General features: G+C 58.2%; 1 protein-coding gene across 2 annotated transcripts in view, besides 10 other annotated features; it reads left to right on the top strand.

Annotated features, from left to right (window-relative positions):
- Positions 1–17686, top strand: part of TCF20 (transcription factor 20) — a 183525-nt gene that overhangs the window by 29580 nt on the left and 136259 nt on the right. The gene's annotated exons all lie outside the window — the stretch shown is intronic.
- Positions 88–917: an enhancer, noted in NCBI's record as "H3K27ac-H3K4me1 hESC enhancer chr22:42709047-42709876 (GRCh37/hg19 assembly coordinates)". NCBI's record gives its function as "activates a minimal SCP1, AML or CMV promoter by ChIP-STARR-seq in naive H9 embryonic stem cells {active_cell/tissue: H9 hESC(naive)}" and the evidence as "EXISTENCE:reporter gene assay evidence [ECO:0000049][PMID:30033119]".
- Positions 2830–3536: an enhancer, noted in NCBI's record as "H3K4me1 hESC enhancer chr22:42706428-42707134 (GRCh37/hg19 assembly coordinates)". NCBI's record gives its function as "activates a minimal SCP1, AML or CMV promoter by ChIP-STARR-seq in primed H9 embryonic stem cells {active_cell/tissue: H9 hESC(primed)}" and the evidence as "EXISTENCE:reporter gene assay evidence [ECO:0000049][PMID:30033119]".
- Positions 12142–12820: an enhancer, noted in NCBI's record as "H3K4me1 hESC enhancer chr22:42697144-42697822 (GRCh37/hg19 assembly coordinates)". NCBI's record gives its function as "activates a minimal SCP1, AML or CMV promoter by ChIP-STARR-seq in naive H9 embryonic stem cells {active_cell/tissue: H9 hESC(naive)}" and the evidence as "EXISTENCE:reporter gene assay evidence [ECO:0000049][PMID:30033119]".
- Positions 12571–12620: an enhancer, noted in NCBI's record as "active region_19159". NCBI's record gives its function as "activates an Ori minimal core promoter by ATAC-STARR-seq in GM12878 lymphoblastoid cells {active_cell/tissue: GM12878}" and the evidence as "EXISTENCE:reporter gene assay evidence [ECO:0000049][PMID:35858748]".
- Positions 12631–12740: an enhancer, noted in NCBI's record as "active region_19158". NCBI's record gives its function as "activates an Ori minimal core promoter by ATAC-STARR-seq in GM12878 lymphoblastoid cells {active_cell/tissue: GM12878}" and the evidence as "EXISTENCE:reporter gene assay evidence [ECO:0000049][PMID:35858748]".
- Positions 12821–13499: an enhancer, noted in NCBI's record as "H3K27ac-H3K4me1 hESC enhancer chr22:42696465-42697143 (GRCh37/hg19 assembly coordinates)". NCBI's record gives its function as "activates a minimal SCP1, AML or CMV promoter by ChIP-STARR-seq in naive H9 embryonic stem cells {active_cell/tissue: H9 hESC(naive)}" and the evidence as "EXISTENCE:reporter gene assay evidence [ECO:0000049][PMID:30033119]".
- Positions 13411–13640: an enhancer, noted in NCBI's record as "active region_19157". NCBI's record gives its function as "activates an Ori minimal core promoter by ATAC-STARR-seq in GM12878 lymphoblastoid cells {active_cell/tissue: GM12878}" and the evidence as "EXISTENCE:reporter gene assay evidence [ECO:0000049][PMID:35858748]".
- Positions 13411–14178: a biological region, named in NCBI's record as "H3K27ac-H3K4me1 hESC enhancer GRCh37_chr22:42695786-42696464".
- Positions 13500–14178: an enhancer, noted in NCBI's record as "H3K27ac-H3K4me1 hESC enhancer chr22:42695786-42696464 (GRCh37/hg19 assembly coordinates)". NCBI's record gives its function as "activates a minimal SCP1, AML or CMV promoter by ChIP-STARR-seq in primed H9 embryonic stem cells {active_cell/tissue: H9 hESC(primed)}" and the evidence as "EXISTENCE:reporter gene assay evidence [ECO:0000049][PMID:30033119]".
- Positions 15552–16197: an enhancer, noted in NCBI's record as "H3K4me1 hESC enhancer chr22:42693767-42694412 (GRCh37/hg19 assembly coordinates)". NCBI's record gives its function as "activates a minimal SCP1, AML or CMV promoter by ChIP-STARR-seq in naive H9 embryonic stem cells {active_cell/tissue: H9 hESC(naive)}" and the evidence as "EXISTENCE:reporter gene assay evidence [ECO:0000049][PMID:30033119]".

The raw sequence follows: 17686 nt of genomic DNA, 5'->3' as shown, positions 1-17686 counted from the left end.
ATTCCAGGCAGCGGGAACAGCCGGGGCAAAGGTGTTCCCTGAGGCGGGGAATTCTGTTGGCCCGGCGCGGTGACTCACGCCTCTAACCTCAGCACTTTGGGAGGCCGAGGCGGGCAGATCACTTGAAGTCAGGAGTTTGAGACCAGCCTGGCCAGCTTGGCGAAACCCTGTCTCTACTAAAAATACAAAAGTGAGCTGGGCGTGGTGGCACACTTGTGTAATCCCAGCTACTCGGGAGGCTGAGGCGGGAGAACTGCTTGAACACAGGAGGTGGAGGTTGCAGTGAGCCAAGATCGTGCCCCTGCACTCCAGCTGGGGCGACAAAGCGAGACTCTGTCTCAAAAAAAAAAAAAAAAAAAAGAAAGAATTCTGTTGAGGCTGCAGTGAGCCTCAGGTGTCTTGGGGACATCCAGGGTCCTAACAGAACCCCAGAGGTATCCACAGGAAAGTGAGTTGCATTCTGGCAGATGATCGAGGCACCCCCTGGAGGAGGTGGTGTGAGGCAGGAAGCAATGTGAAGGAAGGCTGAGAGGGTAATGGGAGAGTGCAGCGGGCAGGGCTCTGCTCGCAGCTGCAGGGGCCTTTCCTGACTTGTGGAGAGGATGCTGTATTGCACGAGGCAGGTCTAGGCACCTCTGGCTCTCAGAGGCCTTTGAGAACCTCGCCTTGTCCATGCTATGGGGTCAGCGGGATTGGGTTGAGACCCTACTGTGCACCAGGGGGTTCGCCTGCATCCTAGCAGCTGTCTCCATTTATTGCAGGCCTACTGAGTGCCAGGCACTGAAGAAGCTCTTGGCCTATGGTGTGACACAGCCCACAGGTGGGCATTAGCACCTGCACTCCCAGGTGGGGAAGGTGAGGCCCAGAAAAGTCCGGAGGCTTGTCCAGGGTCCACAGTATGGTGATGGTGTGACTCAGGCTGGGGAGCCTGAGCTGGGAAGATTGCAAGAAGCTGGTTGTCCTGAGCATTCCTGGACAGGAAACAGTGAGCCACCCCCAGTACTGGAGCTGGCTCCCCAGGACCCAGCTTCGTCCTCAAGGCACCTTTCCCCTGGGCTCTGCAGACGTGGGCCTTGAGGCCTGGGCATTGGGCATGCAGGGCACTAGATTGGGGCCCCATGCTTTCACCTGTGGCTCAGACAATGGGGAGAGGAGGGAGATACTCTATGAGCTTCCAGGGACTTGCAGCTCCTGGCTCTTCATGAAGGGATGACCAGTCACATCTTGCAGATGGGGAGCCTGAGGCTCAGCAGGGATGGGGGGTGACCGGGACCTGACAGCAATGGGATTGCCAGGCCAGGGCGGCAACAGGTCTGTCTGTCCCCACAGCCCACTCCACACCCTGGGGAATGGGTGATAATAGAGCTGGCTCTGAACGTGGGTCATCACCTTGGGCTTTGATCCCCATAGTGGTTTTGTGGGTAGTGTGGATTCTAGAATCCAAGCTCCCCCAACCCTCATTCCCCCAGGCCCGCCTCCATAGCTCCTTTTGTATATTCCTCTGAGGCCTGGGGCCCCACCTGGCCTGGCTCCATCAGACCCCCTCAATAAGGTCAAGTCCAGCCAGGGAACCCATTTATTCTACCAGCTACACCCATGGGGATCTCATTCTCAGCAGCTGCTGGTCTAGACAAGGCAGGGCCATGTCTGTGTGGGCTGTCCTGGTACCAGGCAGGTGGCCCGCTGACTACTGGGGGACCAGTCAGGAGGGGCAGTGGCAGAGTCCTTGCTGCTGTAATCCCCACAGCTGCTTACTCATTCACTCATCCATGATGGCACCTTCTCGGCATTGGAGAGTGCCCTTCTTCTGTAGCTCCTGCACCTGGTGTAATGTTGGCCATATAGTACATACCCTATCACTACTTCCTGTCTCTGCAAGGTGATTTCTAAGTCCTAGGAGCAACCTTCCCCATCCTCCATGTCTTCCTCCTTCTCTGTTGCCTTTTGGCAGAAGTTTTACCGTTTGTGATTCATTCCTTTGGCATAACTGTTGCCCTAAGTTCTTCTAAAATGCAGAACCCTAGAGTCTCACTACCCCTTCTAGGAAGGAGACCCTTTCAAGTCCCAGCTTCTGGGTAACCTATGTGCCTAGGAGAACAGGGCTGTCTTGACTATGCAGGGCTCTGGTGCAGGGGTCTGTGGAAGAGACGGGGAAATCAGAGTTGGGAGGACACGCGGCAGCTCCTGTGTGCCTGCAGGGTGCCCGGGATTGCACTTTTCTTGCTCTTTTCAGCCCTACAGCCCTGGGCTTGGGATGTTTTCATCCCCGTTTTGCAGGGGAGGGGACTGAGGCACCGCTAGCAGGTTTCCCAGCTGGGAGGGCCAGGCCTGGGGTCTGCATGATTCCCGTCCATACCCTTCAACTGCACCTTGCTCCTGTCCACAACATGGGTGTATGATGGTGGTGTGGCCCCTGCAGGGCACCAAGGTCAGCCCCTCTGGTTTGCAGCTGCTGAGAGAGGGCCCAATCCTCACAGCCTTTTGTCCTTTAGGAAAGGTGATCACTTCTAGAGGCTGATTTGATCCCCACACCACCCTGAGGCAAAAATGTCCTCGTTTCTCTTATGAGGAAACTGAGGCACAGGGGGTACCTACTCTATGACACACCATTCAGTGCCCCTCCTGCCCTTCCCCCCAGTCCCCTTGGGAAAGGCCTTGGGCCTGGGCCTGGTGCCAGGAGATGAAGCACTTAGGCAGCCCCCTTCTGCCTCCCTGACTGCAGGTCCCAGTCGCCAGCCCCGCAGGGACCCCTGCCCAGAGCCTGCCGCAGGTGGGAGGGCTGGCGTGCAGGTCCTTGAGGGGAGGCAGGCTGTGTGTGAGCCGCAGTTTGGGAGCCTGGCCACCCCCCTGTCCCCCGATTCCTGCACTCGTGTGCACCTTCTGAGGGGAGCAATCCCTGGATGCCACCGGGCCAGCCTTGGGCCAGCCATACGGTTCCTAAGTGTTCCTCCCTCCAGGCCGTATTTTCTTGGGTATTGATGAGCCAGTGTCATCCAAGATGCAGCCAGAAGCTGAGCTAAACTCAAGACAGATTGAGCCTCCGCCTCATCAATCTGCCTGCCGCTGCTCTGCTGGGGAGAAAAGAGGGCGGGCAGGCGGGCGGCCCAGGCTCTGCGGGGCCCTCCTGGGCTCTCAGAGTGGCCTCCTTAAACCACAGATCCACCTGTTGGGGCTGGCTTGTCACTCTCTGTCCAGGAATTTGCAACTTTCCAGACTCAGGCTCCTGGCCTGGCCACCCATTGCCTGGGGGCTAAAATCCACCCTGCTCATGTCCACCACAGGCCCTGTCTCCTTGCACTCCATTGCCACGCCAGTCCTCTCCACTGTATTCCAGCCATGCGGGCTGCCACTTCCACGAGCCATACTCCTTTCCTCCTCAGGGCTCTGCCTGGAAAGTTCTCTGCATGCCTTCCTCGTCTAGCCTGGCTGAAACACTGCTTCCTCTGAGCCCACGCGCCCCCCTGGCTGGATTCCTGTTATTGTCGACAGTCTCTTAGCACCACTTACTCCCCCCCGCACAACCCCCCAGAGAGCTGGCATCAATGGGTTATTTGTGAGAGTCTCTCACTGTCTGTCTCCCCCAGTGGGACATGGGCTCCGTAGCCCCAGGGACTGTCCATCTTGTTTCCACTAGATCCCCAGGACCTGGCACATAGTAGGCCCTTAGCAAGTGTTAGATGAATGTGCCAACATATGATTGTCATTGCCCTAATTAAACACTTTCCATTTCCTACTGCCCCTGGGATGAAATGTAAACTCCTCAGTGTGGCAGGCAGTTAAGGCCTGCAAGGTCCAACAGAAACAATTCCCTCTGCCTAGAGTTTGCTCCTCATTTTTTCCTCCTCATCTGCCCCTTTATAAACTCCTACACATCCTTCAAAGTCCACCTTTTCTGGGAAAACTTCATGGCCGCTCCGGGCAGTTGGCTGTTCTGCCCTCTGATTCAGCAGTGCCTGGGCACCAGGCCCTGTGCAGGGCACTGGAGAGACAGGGCTGGAAGGGGTAAGATTAGGGCCAGTGTGGAGTTAGCCTTGGACACAACCTCAGAGCATCCTCATGGCGATGATGACAGAAGCAGCTTCCCAGGCAGTTTGTGTTTTTCTTACTTCATCCTCACCACAACACTGTGAGGTGCTGGTGTCACCCCTATTCTGCAGACGAGGACAGCAAGGCTCAGAGAGGTGACGACTGGCAGCTGACATGAAAAGCCAGACAGGGCAGTCCAGAGGCACTTTGAGAGGAAAGAAGTCTGAGCTGAGACTGGAAGGAAGAATACAGGTTTTCTAGGCAGTGGGGAGTTGCAGGGGCGTTGCTGGCATTGGGGACAGTGTGGGCAGAGGTGTGGAGGGCCACGGGCACGGTTGGGGTGTGCAGCAGCCGTAGATGGGTAGGGAACTCCTGAATGTGGGGAGGGGGAAGCTCAGGAGCCTGGGGCAGCGGGGGCGAGGTGGGCAGAAGGGGAGCAGTAAAGGAGGAGGCTGGGGAGGTGGGTCAGGCCAGAGCGCGGAGGCCCAAGCTGGGGAGGGAGGCCCAGGGCACTGGGGCCTGGCGGGGTCTGGGTGACAGGTTGAGGATCCTGGCATGTGGCAGTTCACAGGCTCTGTAGTCCCCCGTCCTGCTTGTCTAGCCTACCCTGTTCCCTTAGCAGTGTCCCCTCCCAGCTGACAGGGCAGGCGGGGGCTCCTGGCATTTGTCCCCTGGTGGAGACCTTGGGGAGCACTTGCTGTCTGTAAATCTCTGGGGAAGAACATGAAAACAAGCCCAGTGACTGTCCCGCAGGGGTTGCCGGCTCCGCTCTTATCTGTCTCCTCATTTGCAGAGTGGGCATGGTCCACCGCCTCCTGCCCCTTCCAGGCCAGCCTCTCTGTGGCCGGCCGGCCATGCTTCTCTCAGCCTCCCCCGCCAGGGTGTCCTGTGAGGCCTCTGCACCAGGCGGCAGGCACCGGCGTGTTCCCTGGGTGTTCAGTGCCCCTCTGCTCTCAGTAAGCTCTACCCTCAGGGCCTGTGTGCAATCCCAGCCCGTTTCACCCACGCCTGGGTCTAGCAAGGCAGGTGCCACCTACCATTTCTGTAGAGATGGAAACTGAGGCTCAGAGATATTAAGTAATAGCATGTGATCACCTGGCCAGCGACAGGGAGCCAGGATTGAGACCTAGGGCCAGCTGCCTCTGTGGTCCTGCTCCTGGCCTAGCTGGGAGGATCTCCCTCCCCTGTCCTCACTTCATCTCTGCTCACCAAAATCCAGCCATCCCTCAAGGACTCACTTGAAGGGACCAGACTCACTTCTGGCCATGGGGGAGGCTCAGTGTTCCTTCTTTCATTCCCAGATACCTTGTGCCTGCCATGGCCCTGGGTACACTTCTAAGACCCTGGGGACGTTGTGCAGAGGTAAAGCCCAGACTCTGGGGTTGGATTCGTGGCTTCACCTAGGGTGCTTTGGGGCCTTCATTACCTCCTTGAGACTCTGTTCATTTGTAAAATGGGGGTGACATTAGTGCCTGCCCCCAAGGATAGGGAGGACTAAGTGAGTCTGTAAAGTGCTGAGAACACTACCTGGCACCTAGTAGCCCTCTGTCTGAGTCACATGTTACTGTCTCCACCCCTAGTGTTTGTGGGCCCCCTCCAGGAAGCGCCTCCAAACCTCTAGGCTGGTGAACATTTTCCTCCTCGAGCTCTCTCTCTCACTTGCTTCACGTCCAAGGGGTTGAGGGTCAGGTGGGTCCCCCGCCTCACTATAGGCACCTTGGGGGCCAGGGCTTCCGTCACCCCCATAGCCCCCTCTCCCCACCCCAGCTACCAGACCAGGGCTCCACGCATTATAGACACTTAATACATGTTTATGGAATTGAATTAACGATAAAACGAGATAATGGCCTGGAAGGAGCCTGTGCTGTTAGGAGGGAATGCATAGCGTAAAAACCAGGCATATATTTTTAAGCAGATTAATCTGGTCTTAACTCATTCTAATAGCCTGCGCCCCTATTGGCCAAGGCCATTATAATAACATATGGCCAGGGCTGTGGAGCTGGGAGATAGCAGTGCCTCGAAGTTCGTCTTCCGAAGGATACCACAGGAGGCCGGTGTCCAGCTGGCCGTCCAAGCTGGAGCTCAGAGAGTCTGAGGGACCTGACCGGAGTCACACCGCTGGGTAGGGGAGAGTGTGAAGAGACCGAGGCTCAGAGAGCCATGGGGCTTACCTGCAGACATGTAGCCCAAGGGGTGTGAGTGGCACAGGAGGCCTCGTCTTCCGCTGCGATGGTTGCATTATCTTGTGTTCCATGCCTGTGCTGGGTCAGAGCTTCTAGAGTCCCATCCCAGGGGACGCTTCACTTAGCTCCTCACCTCTGTGAGTCACCATCATCACAGTTGGGATGTCAAGTTTAGTGCTTCAGAATGTACATGCCCTTGGCCGGGAGAGAGATGAAGCTGGTATCAGTCATCCACACCTTAGTCTGAATTTACATCCCGTGAGGGCAGAGATCAGAGGGAGCTAGGGATCAGCGGGCTATTGGAAAGGAAGGAATAGTCTAGCTCCAGTCAGAGTAGGCGGGGCAGGGGGAATCAGAGCAGTGGCTCCAAAGTCACCCTTCCCAGCTGTCCGCCACTCTGGGCCTAAGTGCAGATGGAAGGCAGGGAATGAAGGAACTTGGCTTGCTTGGTGACCAGACAAGGTCCCACCCTCACATTCCGGGGCGAGGATGCTTTTAGAGAATGGCCCTGACCTGACCACTGTGCACTGCTGGTCAAATGCTGGTTGTAGCTACTGCAGCCGGCGTCCTCTGCTGCTGCCTCCCTTGGTGCATCTCAGGGGCAACCCCATGCTGTCGTCAGAGCCCACCATTGCCACCAGATGGCTCGGGTTGGTGCCCGGCCCTGGCTGCCCCTCCTCTCAGTCTTTTTTTTTTTTTTTTTTTTTTTTAAGACAGAGTCTTGCTCTGTCACCCAGGGTGGAGTGCAGTGGCATGATCTCGGGTCACTGCAACCTCCGCTCCCCAGGGTCAAGCGATTCTCGTGCCTCAGCATCCCGAGTAGCTGGGATTACAGGAGCGTGCCACCATGCCTGGCTAATTTTTGTATTTTTAGTAGAGACAGAGTTTCACCATGTTGTCCAGGCTGGTCTCGAACTCCTGACCTCAGGTGATCCGCCCACCTTGGCCTCCCAAAGTGCTGGGATTACAGGTGTGAGCCACCAAACCTGGACGCTCCTCTCAGACTTCAACAAGTGTTGCCCTCCTGAGCCTCCATTTCCTGCTCAGTAAAATGCCTACGGCAGCTCCATCCCAGTGGCATGGGGGCTCCTGAGGCGAAGGCACCCAGCACAGCCCCAGGCTCAGACGAAGCCCCATTAGTGCTGTTTCCCTAATTCTCCCACCAGCCTGGAGGAGGTGGGCCCATGGATGCCCTGTGAGCCATGGGTTCCACGGGCACAGTGGAGGCCCACTGCCTGCCTGTCAAGTAGAGGTAATGGAGGGCAAAGGAAGTTTCTCCTGGAGGCTTCCCCAGTTTAGAAGTCCCTGGGCAGGGCTGCCTGAGCCTGGGGGTCCCCTAGCAGCACCCCCCACCCACATTGCTTGCCACCTGCTCCTGGCAGGCAGATGAGGTCCTCAGCTGCTGGCCCAGCCTGGCAGGGCGGCTGCAGCCCTCATCAGCCCTCGCGCCACTTTCCTTGGAAGGAGAATTGCAGGTGGCAACTCCTAATTTCCCAGGCTTCTGCCTTTCATTAATTTCTCCCTGCAAAATGGAGGCTTTCTGCGAGGCGGGGAGCTGGCAGCGGCGCGCACAGCGGCTCCGTCTCCGGCTTAGCCATGCGCTCAGCTTGAGGCGGGGGTGGCGAGGCCGCAGCAGCCACTCAGTCCACGCTGCCTGCGGTGCCCCCTCGCAGAGGCAGGAGGTTTTTCCCATGTTCAGATGGGCTCACCAAGCCTCACCAGATCTGGGAGATTGCTCAGTGGGGAGGGGGAGGCAAGGAGGCTCAGCCAATGCCAGCCTTTGCTGGACCATGAAGGGAGCAGAGGTCTCCGAGCCCCCAGGAGCACCCCTGCCCTCCACGGCTGCCAGTGCCTCCCTCCTGAGGGGCTTTTCCTGCCCTCCAGCTTTGAGAGCATCTGAGGGCCAGGCCTGCATGAGGATGGAGATGGGGTGGGGGAGGGCCAGATCTGGGGTGGGAGGTCCAGGGATCTCCCAGCCACGGGGGAGGCAGGTGGCACACTGATGATGACACCCATCCAGGGGCCACTGTCAGGCCAGGGGTGTGGAGACCAGGGAAGGCAGTCTGGGGAGGCCAGGGTCTGGAAGGACGAATGGGAGGTGGCTGGGAAAGTGGTCCCCCATCCTGGAACAGCACAGTGCATTTCCAGGAACAGCACCTTCATCCATCCATTTGTCCTGTAGATGTTGACTTAGCAGCTGTTCGGGAGATAACACAGCAGGTTCTGGTGGGGTGAGCCAGGTGTCCAGGGCCAGGGGTCTGGTCTCCCCTGGGGACTGGGAGAGACTTGGTCAGATGTGCAGTTTAGAGAGACCCATGGAGTGGCAAGTGTGGAGTGTTTGGGAGGCAGTCATAGGAGGACCAAGAAGGATGCTGGGGGTTAAGGGGTGGGATGGCCCCATGTTTCTGGCCCCAGGTGGATGGCAGTGCCATGCCCTGAGGGGGGCAGGGAGCTGGTCCTCATTAATAGGAAGTAGTCAATCACTGCCTAGTATGAATTAGGGGATTGGGCCAGCTCTTGAACTGATTCTTACCAGCAGCCTTGGGGGCCAGGAGGCAGTGCTGGAGCTGGAGCGTGGGTCTGACATTTGCTCAGGTTGTGTTTGCAGTGCTGTACGACTGCATGGGGAGGGGCTCCAGGGGGTTATTTAGTTCAGGTCCTGCTTTCTCTCTCCCATGGGCGACCAGGGAGAGGGTCTGCTGTGTGCTCAAACACCCCACAGGCTGTGCATTCCCTGGGCATCTCTGAGCCTATTTCCTGGTTTGGAAAGAGCACAAGCTGTAGAGACAAACCCCCAAGAGTACGGGGCCCCTGGTAGAAACTGGGGCCAGGTTAAGCTGGAGGTCACGGGACTCCAGTCTTCAGCCTGGAACAGGCCCCAGCGCCCGACCTTAGCTGTACAACTGACACCTGGTTCACATCCCACCAAGAGCGCCCCTGAAGTGGGGACCTCCCCCAGTATAAGTCTAGCACTTCAGTATGGAGGAGTGGACACCAGGAAGCTAAAACTTGCAGCTTCTCACCACCCTGGGCAGGTCACTTCACTCCTCTCTGCCTCGGTTTCCCCAGCTATGGAATTACATGATTCTGCCCACCTCATAGGGTTGCTGTGAGAGTTAGATGTTCATCAGAGTGCCTGCCTGGCACAACAGACGTAGACTTGCTACCCTGTACCTCCCAGGACCAGGCAAGGGGATCTCTGCGCGGCAGTGCACGGACGCAGCATGCAACAGGCTTTGTAAGCCCAGGGGAAGGTGCTGAGTCCTCTCAGTGAGTTGGGAGGGCTCTGCGGGGAAAGGCTGGGGGATGTGGGGCTGGCTGCCCAGGGCTGTCTCCCAACACCCCCAGCATGCGTCCAGGAGTCCCTTCCTGCATCCAGCCCAGCCTCCCCACCTCCCTGTGCTCACCACCCTGTTGGGCTCTACCTGCCTCTCCTCCAATCTGTGCTCTATTTATGGAATTTCTAGGCGGGAATCTAGCACAGCTTTGATCTTTTCCGTGGAACGGGCAGCTAAGGCGGGGCGGGGGTGCTTCTGGCTGTATATTTTCTCCCTTAATGGGGTATTAAGTAGACAGCCCAGATGGGGATCTCCCAGTGGGAGGGGGTGGGGCACAGCCTGCTTCATATCAGCCTGAAATATGGCCCCATCACCGCCAAACCTCAAAGGACGCTACCTTTGGGCTGGCTGGGACCTAGCTTTGATGTTCTTGCGGCAGGGGGGTGGGGCAGACCTTCCCGGGCACAGCTAGACTGGAGTATGGTCTGCCAGGCACCTGGGAGAGAGTGGCCCCTCTTCACTCTTTCTCCTGCCTCCCCTTCCCCTTTCTCCATTCTCTCTTCTCTCTCTCCCCTCTCCCCCTTTTCTTTCCCCGCTCCCCTCCTCTCCACATTCCCCTCTCCCTCCCTCCCTGTCCCTAGCTCCCTGCCCCTCCTCCTCTCACCTCTATGCTTCCTCTTCTCCCCCAGTCCTCTTCCTCCTCCCTTTGGCCTGAGCGTTTTCCAAGCAGTGCACTCCCCTGCCATCCGCAGACCCATCTCCTCTAATCCGCAAGGGTCCCCTGGTGAATGTGTGGGCAGGGCACAGCTGAGGGTGGGAGTGTGGCTCCTTCACCTGGCTGGCCATCATGGGAGGAGATAGTTAAAGGTGAGGCCAGACAGTCCAGAATCCATTCCCAGTTCATGTGCTTATCAGGCAAGTTACTTCAGTTCTCTGCATACTCATGCCCTCGGCTGGAAAACGGTGTAATAGCTGCCCATGGGGTGTTGTGCAGGTTACAGAGCTCGACTGCAGAGTGCCTGGATCCCTGCCCTGCACCGAGCGAACGCTCGGAGTGTCCACTAGGATGAGCCGTTTCTGTCTGATCTGGGGCAAGGGCCTGAGCCGGACCTCTCTGAGCCTCGGTCTCCTCTGCACGATAGTGTGGATACCCCTCAGCTCCTCGGTACGCGTGGTGAAGACTAAATAAGATGATGCATGGCAGAACCTGGCACAAGGGGACATCCAGTAGATGGTTGCTTGGCCTGGCATGGTGGCTCACGCCTGTAATCCCAGCACTTTGGAAGGCCAAGGCAGGTAGATCACATGAGGTCAGGAGTTTGAGACCAGCCTGGCCAACATGGTGAAACCCCGTCGCTACTAAAAATACAAAAATTATCCGAGCGTTGTGTTGGGCACCCGTAATCCCAGCTACCTGGGAGGCTGAGGCAGGAGGATTGCTTGAACCCGGGAGGCGGAGGTTGCAGTGAGCGGAGATTGTGCCACTGCACTCCAGCCTGGGCAACAGAGCGAGGCTCTGTCTCAAAAAAACAATAAATGGCTGTGGTGGTGGTTTCCATGAATAGTCACCCCAGCATCTATTAAACCCGTGCCGTGTGCCAGGGCTGGAGGCTCTGGTTGAACCTGACGGGGTCCCAGCCTGAAGTTGCACCCAGGCGTGGGGCACACATTTGGGTAAAGAAATTGTTCCGGAACTACAGGATGGGAGGTGCTGGGTGGTCTGTGATTTGAGTGTAGTGGGTGGGGGGTTCTGGATAAGTCCTGCAGGGCAGGGTCATGGCCAGTGCCTGTTTCTGTTCTTCCTTCTTTCTTTCCTCCTTCTCCCTGCCCTGGCCCCACCATGTGAGACATCCAGGAATCCCACCAAGCAAGGACAGGGATGAAAGAGGCCGGTCTCTGTCTTTGCCTTCCACTGGCTGGTGACCTTGGCAAAGCCTCCTCTCCTGGCCTTGGTTTCTTCCTCTGTGAAAGGGGCATGGCTAGTGGCCTCCCTGCATGGCTTGGAGGCCAGTGGGTGGGGTGGGAGCTCTTTGAGGGTAGAGGAACGTGCCTCTCACCTCCCCCACCAAGGCTGCCTCTGTACGCTCAGCCCCCGCCCTTTGCTGTCCATGGCTGGAATTGAGAGAGAAGGCTGCCCACTCTATGGGTCCCCACAGAGACCGTCTCTTTTGTCCTAGAGACCCCCAGCTGCAGCCACCACCAGCCTGAGTGCCATCTAGTGTCAGTCCTGACTGTTGTGGGAGCCCCGGTCTCAGTTTCCCCATCTGGAGAAGGGGACTCAACACCCGATAGTGCCCTTAAGGCAGCATCAAGGCACCTGCCCAGTGAGGGGCCCCTCAGCTCTCCCAGACTGGCCCCTTTGCCTCCTGTCCCATTAGCTGTCCCTCCTTTGCCGGCTCTTGCTCTGGGCTAAGAGGTGGGTCTGTGCCATGCAGACCCATCAGGGGGTTCTCTCCCAGCTCCTCCAAGAGGCCTTTCCTCTGGGGGCTTAGGTTGAGGGACCTGCCTGAGGTCGTCCAGCTGTACTTGCGAGCCCTGGGCCCGGAATCCAGGCCTGCCGGCCCTGAGTCTTGCTCACACCAGCCCCCGTGGCCGTCCAGCCAAGCGGCTGTGCACTGGAGTGCTCCTCCTCGGAGAACTGAAATCTACCAGGGGAATGGCTGCCCATCTGCTCGGGTTTTGCCCGCTGGCAGTGAGAAAGGGAGTCCCCTGTTCCCCACGACAGACTTCAGGGAGCCAAGGGACGCAGCCAGGTCTCCCCAGCCTGCAAACATTGCTTCCCACCTTCCCTCCCTTGCTGCTCCCAGACCCCTCCCAAAGGTTTCCATTGCCCTGGAGCTACGCCAGGGAGCTCTGTCACCTTTGGCATGGCTCTTGCAGACACCTCCGCCTGTCGAATCACTTTGACTTAGGAAGCCCTGCTTTCTCCACCTCTGGGCCTGTGTGCATGCCACCTCCTTGGCTGGGAACAGTGTCCCCTCCTGTCCTCACCTTGCAGGTGGATTCCTCTTTGGAGGGACCAGGCCACGTGCCTTACCCAGTCCAGCCCCCACCATAGCCCCCTCACCCTGTGGTGGTGGTTGTGTGGTCACGTCTGTCTCCCCAAGGTGCACGCCTTGTCTGTCTGGCTCTCCTCTGTCTCCCTGGGGCGTGGCACAGAGTAAGTGCTCAGCAAACACTTGTTGAACCTATGAATGACTCCATCCTCGCCTTGTCCTGACAGCCCCATAGTGAAGATCTGAGCCGACCTCTCTCCTGCTTACACACCTCCAACGGCTCCCTAGTGCCCGCAAGATAAACTTCCGCATTTCTGAACCCCCACATCCACCTCCTCCCAGCCTTGCCTCTGGCTTCCAGCAGCCATTTACACCTCCACCCTGGTAAGTGCAGATGCCATGCTCTGCCCTAGGACCTTCCTTTGGGGAGACTCCCCTACCGCCACCCTACAGAGGTAGCTGCTTCCTCCTTGGAGGCCACACCTCTCTATCCTAAACACCCTCCCCTGTCCTGGCCTCTGAAGGTGGGGTTAAGGCTGACTCAGGGCCTTGGGGAGCAACAGAAGAATGAATGGTTGAATGCATGGTGCATTCTGCAGGTGGGGCTCGGGGGAGGGGAAGCTGCCCAGGTCTTGGCAGGGGGAGGAGGGAATGTCAGGAGTGGATAGGGAGGATGGGCTGAGCAGAGGCAAAGGCAGAGAGGCAGGCCTGGGTTAGTCATCAGGGTGATGAGTGGGGCTGAGTGTGTTGGCCCTGGGCTGGACGAGGGGTTTTCTGAGACCCTCCCCTGCCACTAACCTCCCTATACTTCCCTTTCCCAGCAGCCACAGCCCTGCCCCTTGGGCTGCTGACCGCAGGAGGCTTCAGGCATGGGAGTCCTGAGACCCCAAGTCTTAGCCCGCACCCCTTGAGCACTCACTGTGTGTGTCCCTGAACAAGTGCCTTTCCCTTCCTGGGCCTCAGTGCCCCCTGGGAAACAAAAGCGTTGCTGCCCACCATCAGAAGTGGGAGGTGACCGAGGTTCTGGGCCCCAGTCAGGACATGCTCTATTTGGCCCATGTGGCGCTTTTTTTCTTTTTTTTTTTAGTTTGAGCCAAAATTAAAACAGGGAAGTTTTCACATACAAATCTAGATTTCTGGCTTCTGTTGATATCTGGGCTGGCCCAGCCACGAGCTCTCACCGGCAGGAGTAGCTGGGTGGTCTTCACTCTTGGCCACCTGCCCAGCCTCCTAGCAGAGGCCCCAAAGCCCTGCCGCTCTCCTTGGGGGAACAGGTTTCAAAACCTGCCTCCCCTTACCCTGCCTTGAGATAAAACCGCATTCCCCTAACCCCCTGATATTCCAGACAATCTGCCTCGTTTTAAAATTCCTTCAGCAGCCCCAGGCCCAGCGGCTTCTACCAGCGAAGGAACGAAGGAACGAAAGGAACCAGGCTGCACGTGACTGCTTTGCGGCTGGGGAAGGCTTTGATGTTGCGGGTGATTTCAGCGCGCCCCTCCCCCTCCCCCTCCCCGCCCTTCCTTCCCCTCCTCTCCTTTCTTCCTCTGCTCCCTTTCCCCCTCCTCCTCCACCCGCTCCAAGCTTCCCTTCTACCCCTTTCTGTCTTTTCCCTCCTCCCTCCTCCCCTCCGCTTCCTTCTCCCCCTTCTCTCTTCCCCTCCCCCATCCCCACCACTTCCTCCTCCTCTGCTATTCTCTCTTACCGACCCCACTCCAGGTACCTGCTAATTGCACTTCCCTCCTGCTATTAATTACCTGACCTAGAGAGACCCCAGCCAGGTCACTCCTAGGAGGTCTTGAAGTGTTGGGGTGCGGGCAGGGGGGCCTGCGTTCGGGGAGAGGTACAGAGGTTGGAGAGCTGCTAGCTGGGACAGAAAGGCAAGAGGGACTGGTGACCAGTGGGACATGTGATTCCCCTCCACCCCCATTCCAGTTCCTCGGGGTTCCTGGGTGACCCACCACTGCCAGCATGTTCTGTTCATGAGGCCTTGAGGCCCCTTTGTCCTGGGGGAAATTGAGGCCCCAGGGCATTGGAGGTTGGCTAGGAGTGGGGAGGGGAGATGGGAGAGAGAGTCCATGGGGAGGGAGAGCAAGGTAAGGACTGTGTGAGAGGCAGATGGAGAGAGTGCCAGAGCAGGGGGCTGGATGTGGGGAGAGGGGCTGGGAAGGACCCTCAGTTCCTGCACCCCCAGCCAGACATGGCCTCACCTCCTTGCCGCCGTCCTCCCTGTGATTGTCCTCTGGGCTCACTGGTTGCTCTTGCTGTCTGCCTACCGCCCCCTTGCCCCCATCCTCCCGTGCCTTCTAAAGGCCAGAGAAGCCTGCAGGGCCAAGTCCAGATTTTTGGGGGTACCCCTCCAGGTCTCCGTTCCCCTCCACAGCAGGGGTCTGGGCAGGCGGTGGGTGTGGGAACCCTTGGAGCCCACCCATCACTGCCATGGTTATTCTCTGTTTCAGTTGGTCCACAGCTTCTAAGGCTGAGGACACACCAGTGGGTGCCTCCTCTGTGCTGGCCGTGGTGCCCGGCCCCTCCCTGCCCTGGGCCCTCTCGTCCTCCCCCGACTTGAGGCAGGGATGGCTCCTGGAGGCCGGGGCATTGGGCACGCTGGTTCTGGACTGTCCTGGGGAAGGCCTGGTGGGGAGGGGACTGCCTGCTGCTCTGGCCTCCAGGCTCTGGCCCATCCCTGCTGTGGTTTCTTTGGTCAAATTTGTCATCTAGGTGGGTGTCCCCACAAAAGGCAAGTGCAGAGATAGATGAAATTAGGGCAAACTTGCGACCATGCCAGCTGGTAGGCCTACTATGTGCCCAGCTATCCACAGGGGATGTGAGAGTGTTGCCTGTCCCACTGCCCCCTCCCCCAGCACCATCCGTGCAAAGATGAAGAGCCCAGGCTCAGGGAAGTGCCGAGACTTGACAGCAGGGCTGGGACCCAGGCCTTCTGCTTCGGGGTTCTGGGCAGGATGGTCTTCAGTGATAGCCAAGGAGGCTTCGGCCCTGGAGTCACCACCCCGGCATGTGCCTTGTTTTCCTCCTTGAAACCATAGTGACACTACTCCTGTCTCCCTAGAATAACTTCTCAGCAGCAGCTGCTGTCGCCTTCCACACCCAATGGGTGCCCCAACAACAGTCGGCCCTTTGGGTCAATCGCCCATGTGCCCACCTTCACCTACCCTCTCTCCAGGAGCACCTCCGCTGATGTCAAACCCTGCCTGTCCTCACTCATCCCCTGCTCCATCTCAGTTCTTGGATGAGTCGCTGGAAGCTGAGCCTTGGCTCTGGCTGAGGGCTCAGCCCTCCTCCGGGCTAGGGAATCTGGTGATAGGAGCACCAGGGCCCTGGGATTTGTGCCCTGATCAGCTGTGTGACTTTGGGCAAGTCACTGGCCCTCTCAGGACATGTGAGAAATGGAGACAGTGGTGATGCCTTCTCTCCCATGGGTTTGCTTTGAGTCTATTGAGAAGACAGATGCTGAAAAGCCCCACCACTTTGTACAGATGTGAGCAGCTGGGCTGAGCGGTCACCTTTGCACCCCCAGGCCCAGCCCTGAAACCAGCACATGTTCATCCTTGCCTGCTCTGCATGGGTGCCAGAGAGGAGCCCTGCTGTGAACCCTCCATGTGTTCCTTCCACCCTGGGTCTCATCTCCTCACCATCAGCCAGGAATGCTGGGCCCTGCCTGACAGGGGCCCCAGCTGGTGGGGGGATGCGACCCGAGGCCTTCTGTTGTGGTTTGTGGGGCAAGAGGGGAGTCCACACACATTTGTCTGAATTGTGTGGCTCAAGATTCTCTCTGGCCAGTATTTCCTAAGTCTGCCTGGTCTGGGTTGGGAGAAGAGGTTATGAAGGGGAAGCTCCTGGGGGCTGAGCTCGAGGCTCAGGGATCATGGGCTTTCATGGCTGACCCTGTGAACTGCCCCTCCCCAGTGTCTGGCCCCTCCAGCCCAGCCATGGGGCTCACCCAGCTGTGCCCTTGGAGGGTGCTCAGGAGGCAGTGGGGGATGGGAGAAGGTTGGGAGGGGCTCTGATGAGTTCTTGTTGCTGGTAAAAAGAAGGCACAACCAGTGTCCTTAGATTTACCGTCTAATGCAAATGAGGACCCACTCCTCATTCTTGCCGCTCCATGAATATGACCAACCCTTAAGCCAGCTAGGGAGTCTGACCTCTGCTCAGGCCTGGCAGGGGACAGGAAGTAGCTCCTCACCTGTTTTTCTTTTTTCAGCCCCCTGGTCAGTTCTACAGCGTAGCCCTCTCTGATCATGCCCATTTTCCAGATGGGCAGCCTCCTTGCCCAAGGTCGCCCAGCTGGGCCATCCATTGTGGGTATGGGCACTGAGGCCTGCCTGAACCAGTAGTGCATAGGGGTTGGGACACAGGTTCTGGGGCCCAAGTTTAAACTGACTTCTCCAGTTTGCTGTGTGGTTCTGGGTGGGTTACTGCACCTCTCTGAACTCAGTTGCCACATCTGTAGAGTGGGTTTAACTATAGCACCTTCCTTTGGAGAGATGTCAGTGCCGGAGTGCATGGAGCACCTGGCATGGAGTGAGTGCTTGCTGAGTGTCAGCTGTAGTTGCTGCTGTTTTTACTGTTATTTGACTTGAAAATCTCCCCCTGCTCCTCGTGCTGCTTTCTCATTCGCGAAAAGCTGAGCTGAATAAATGGCGACGGGGCCTCCTGGGTCCCCCTGCAGCGTGATTACATCCCTGAGCCCTGCTTGGGGCTGGCATCAGCAGGGCCCCCTTGTGGCTCGGGTGGTGAGGAGAAACTTGGCCCTGTCGCACTGCCTGGCTGGAGCCCTGTTTGGGGGTGGGGGTCTCAGCCCTGCCTGGCCTGCCTCCCGGCTGACAGCTCGGGCACTGTGAGCTGGCTGCCAGCCAAGCTGCTTCCTCTCTGGCTGGCTGGCATCCCGGGCCCAATGCCAGGGGGCCGGCTGGTGGGCAGCAGCTCGAACGCCGCAGGGCTGTGATCCCGGCCAGGAGACTCCAGGCAGGGCTGGGTGTTGGGGCCTCCAACTGCCCCTCATGGCCCTTGGGGAGCCGGGCACAGCTGCACTGGCTCTCGGCACCACCCCCAAGTTGGCGCCGTTGCAGGTTTGCAAAGCAGCAGCAAAGAGTGCAGCCAGGGCAGTGGGAGCTGTTCACATCCTCAGGCCTGTCTCACAGGGTCAGACACTGAGCCAGTACTTGCTGAGTGTCCATGTGTCCAG

The sequence above is a fragment of the Homo sapiens genome, chromosome 22, assembly GCF_000001405.40.
Source record: "Homo sapiens chromosome 22, GRCh38.p14 Primary Assembly".
Lineage (NCBI taxonomy): Eukaryota > Metazoa > Chordata > Mammalia > Primates > Hominidae > Homo > Homo sapiens.
The sequence above is the reverse complement of the archived record's forward strand: the minus strand, read 5'-3'. Positions and strand labels throughout refer to the sequence as shown.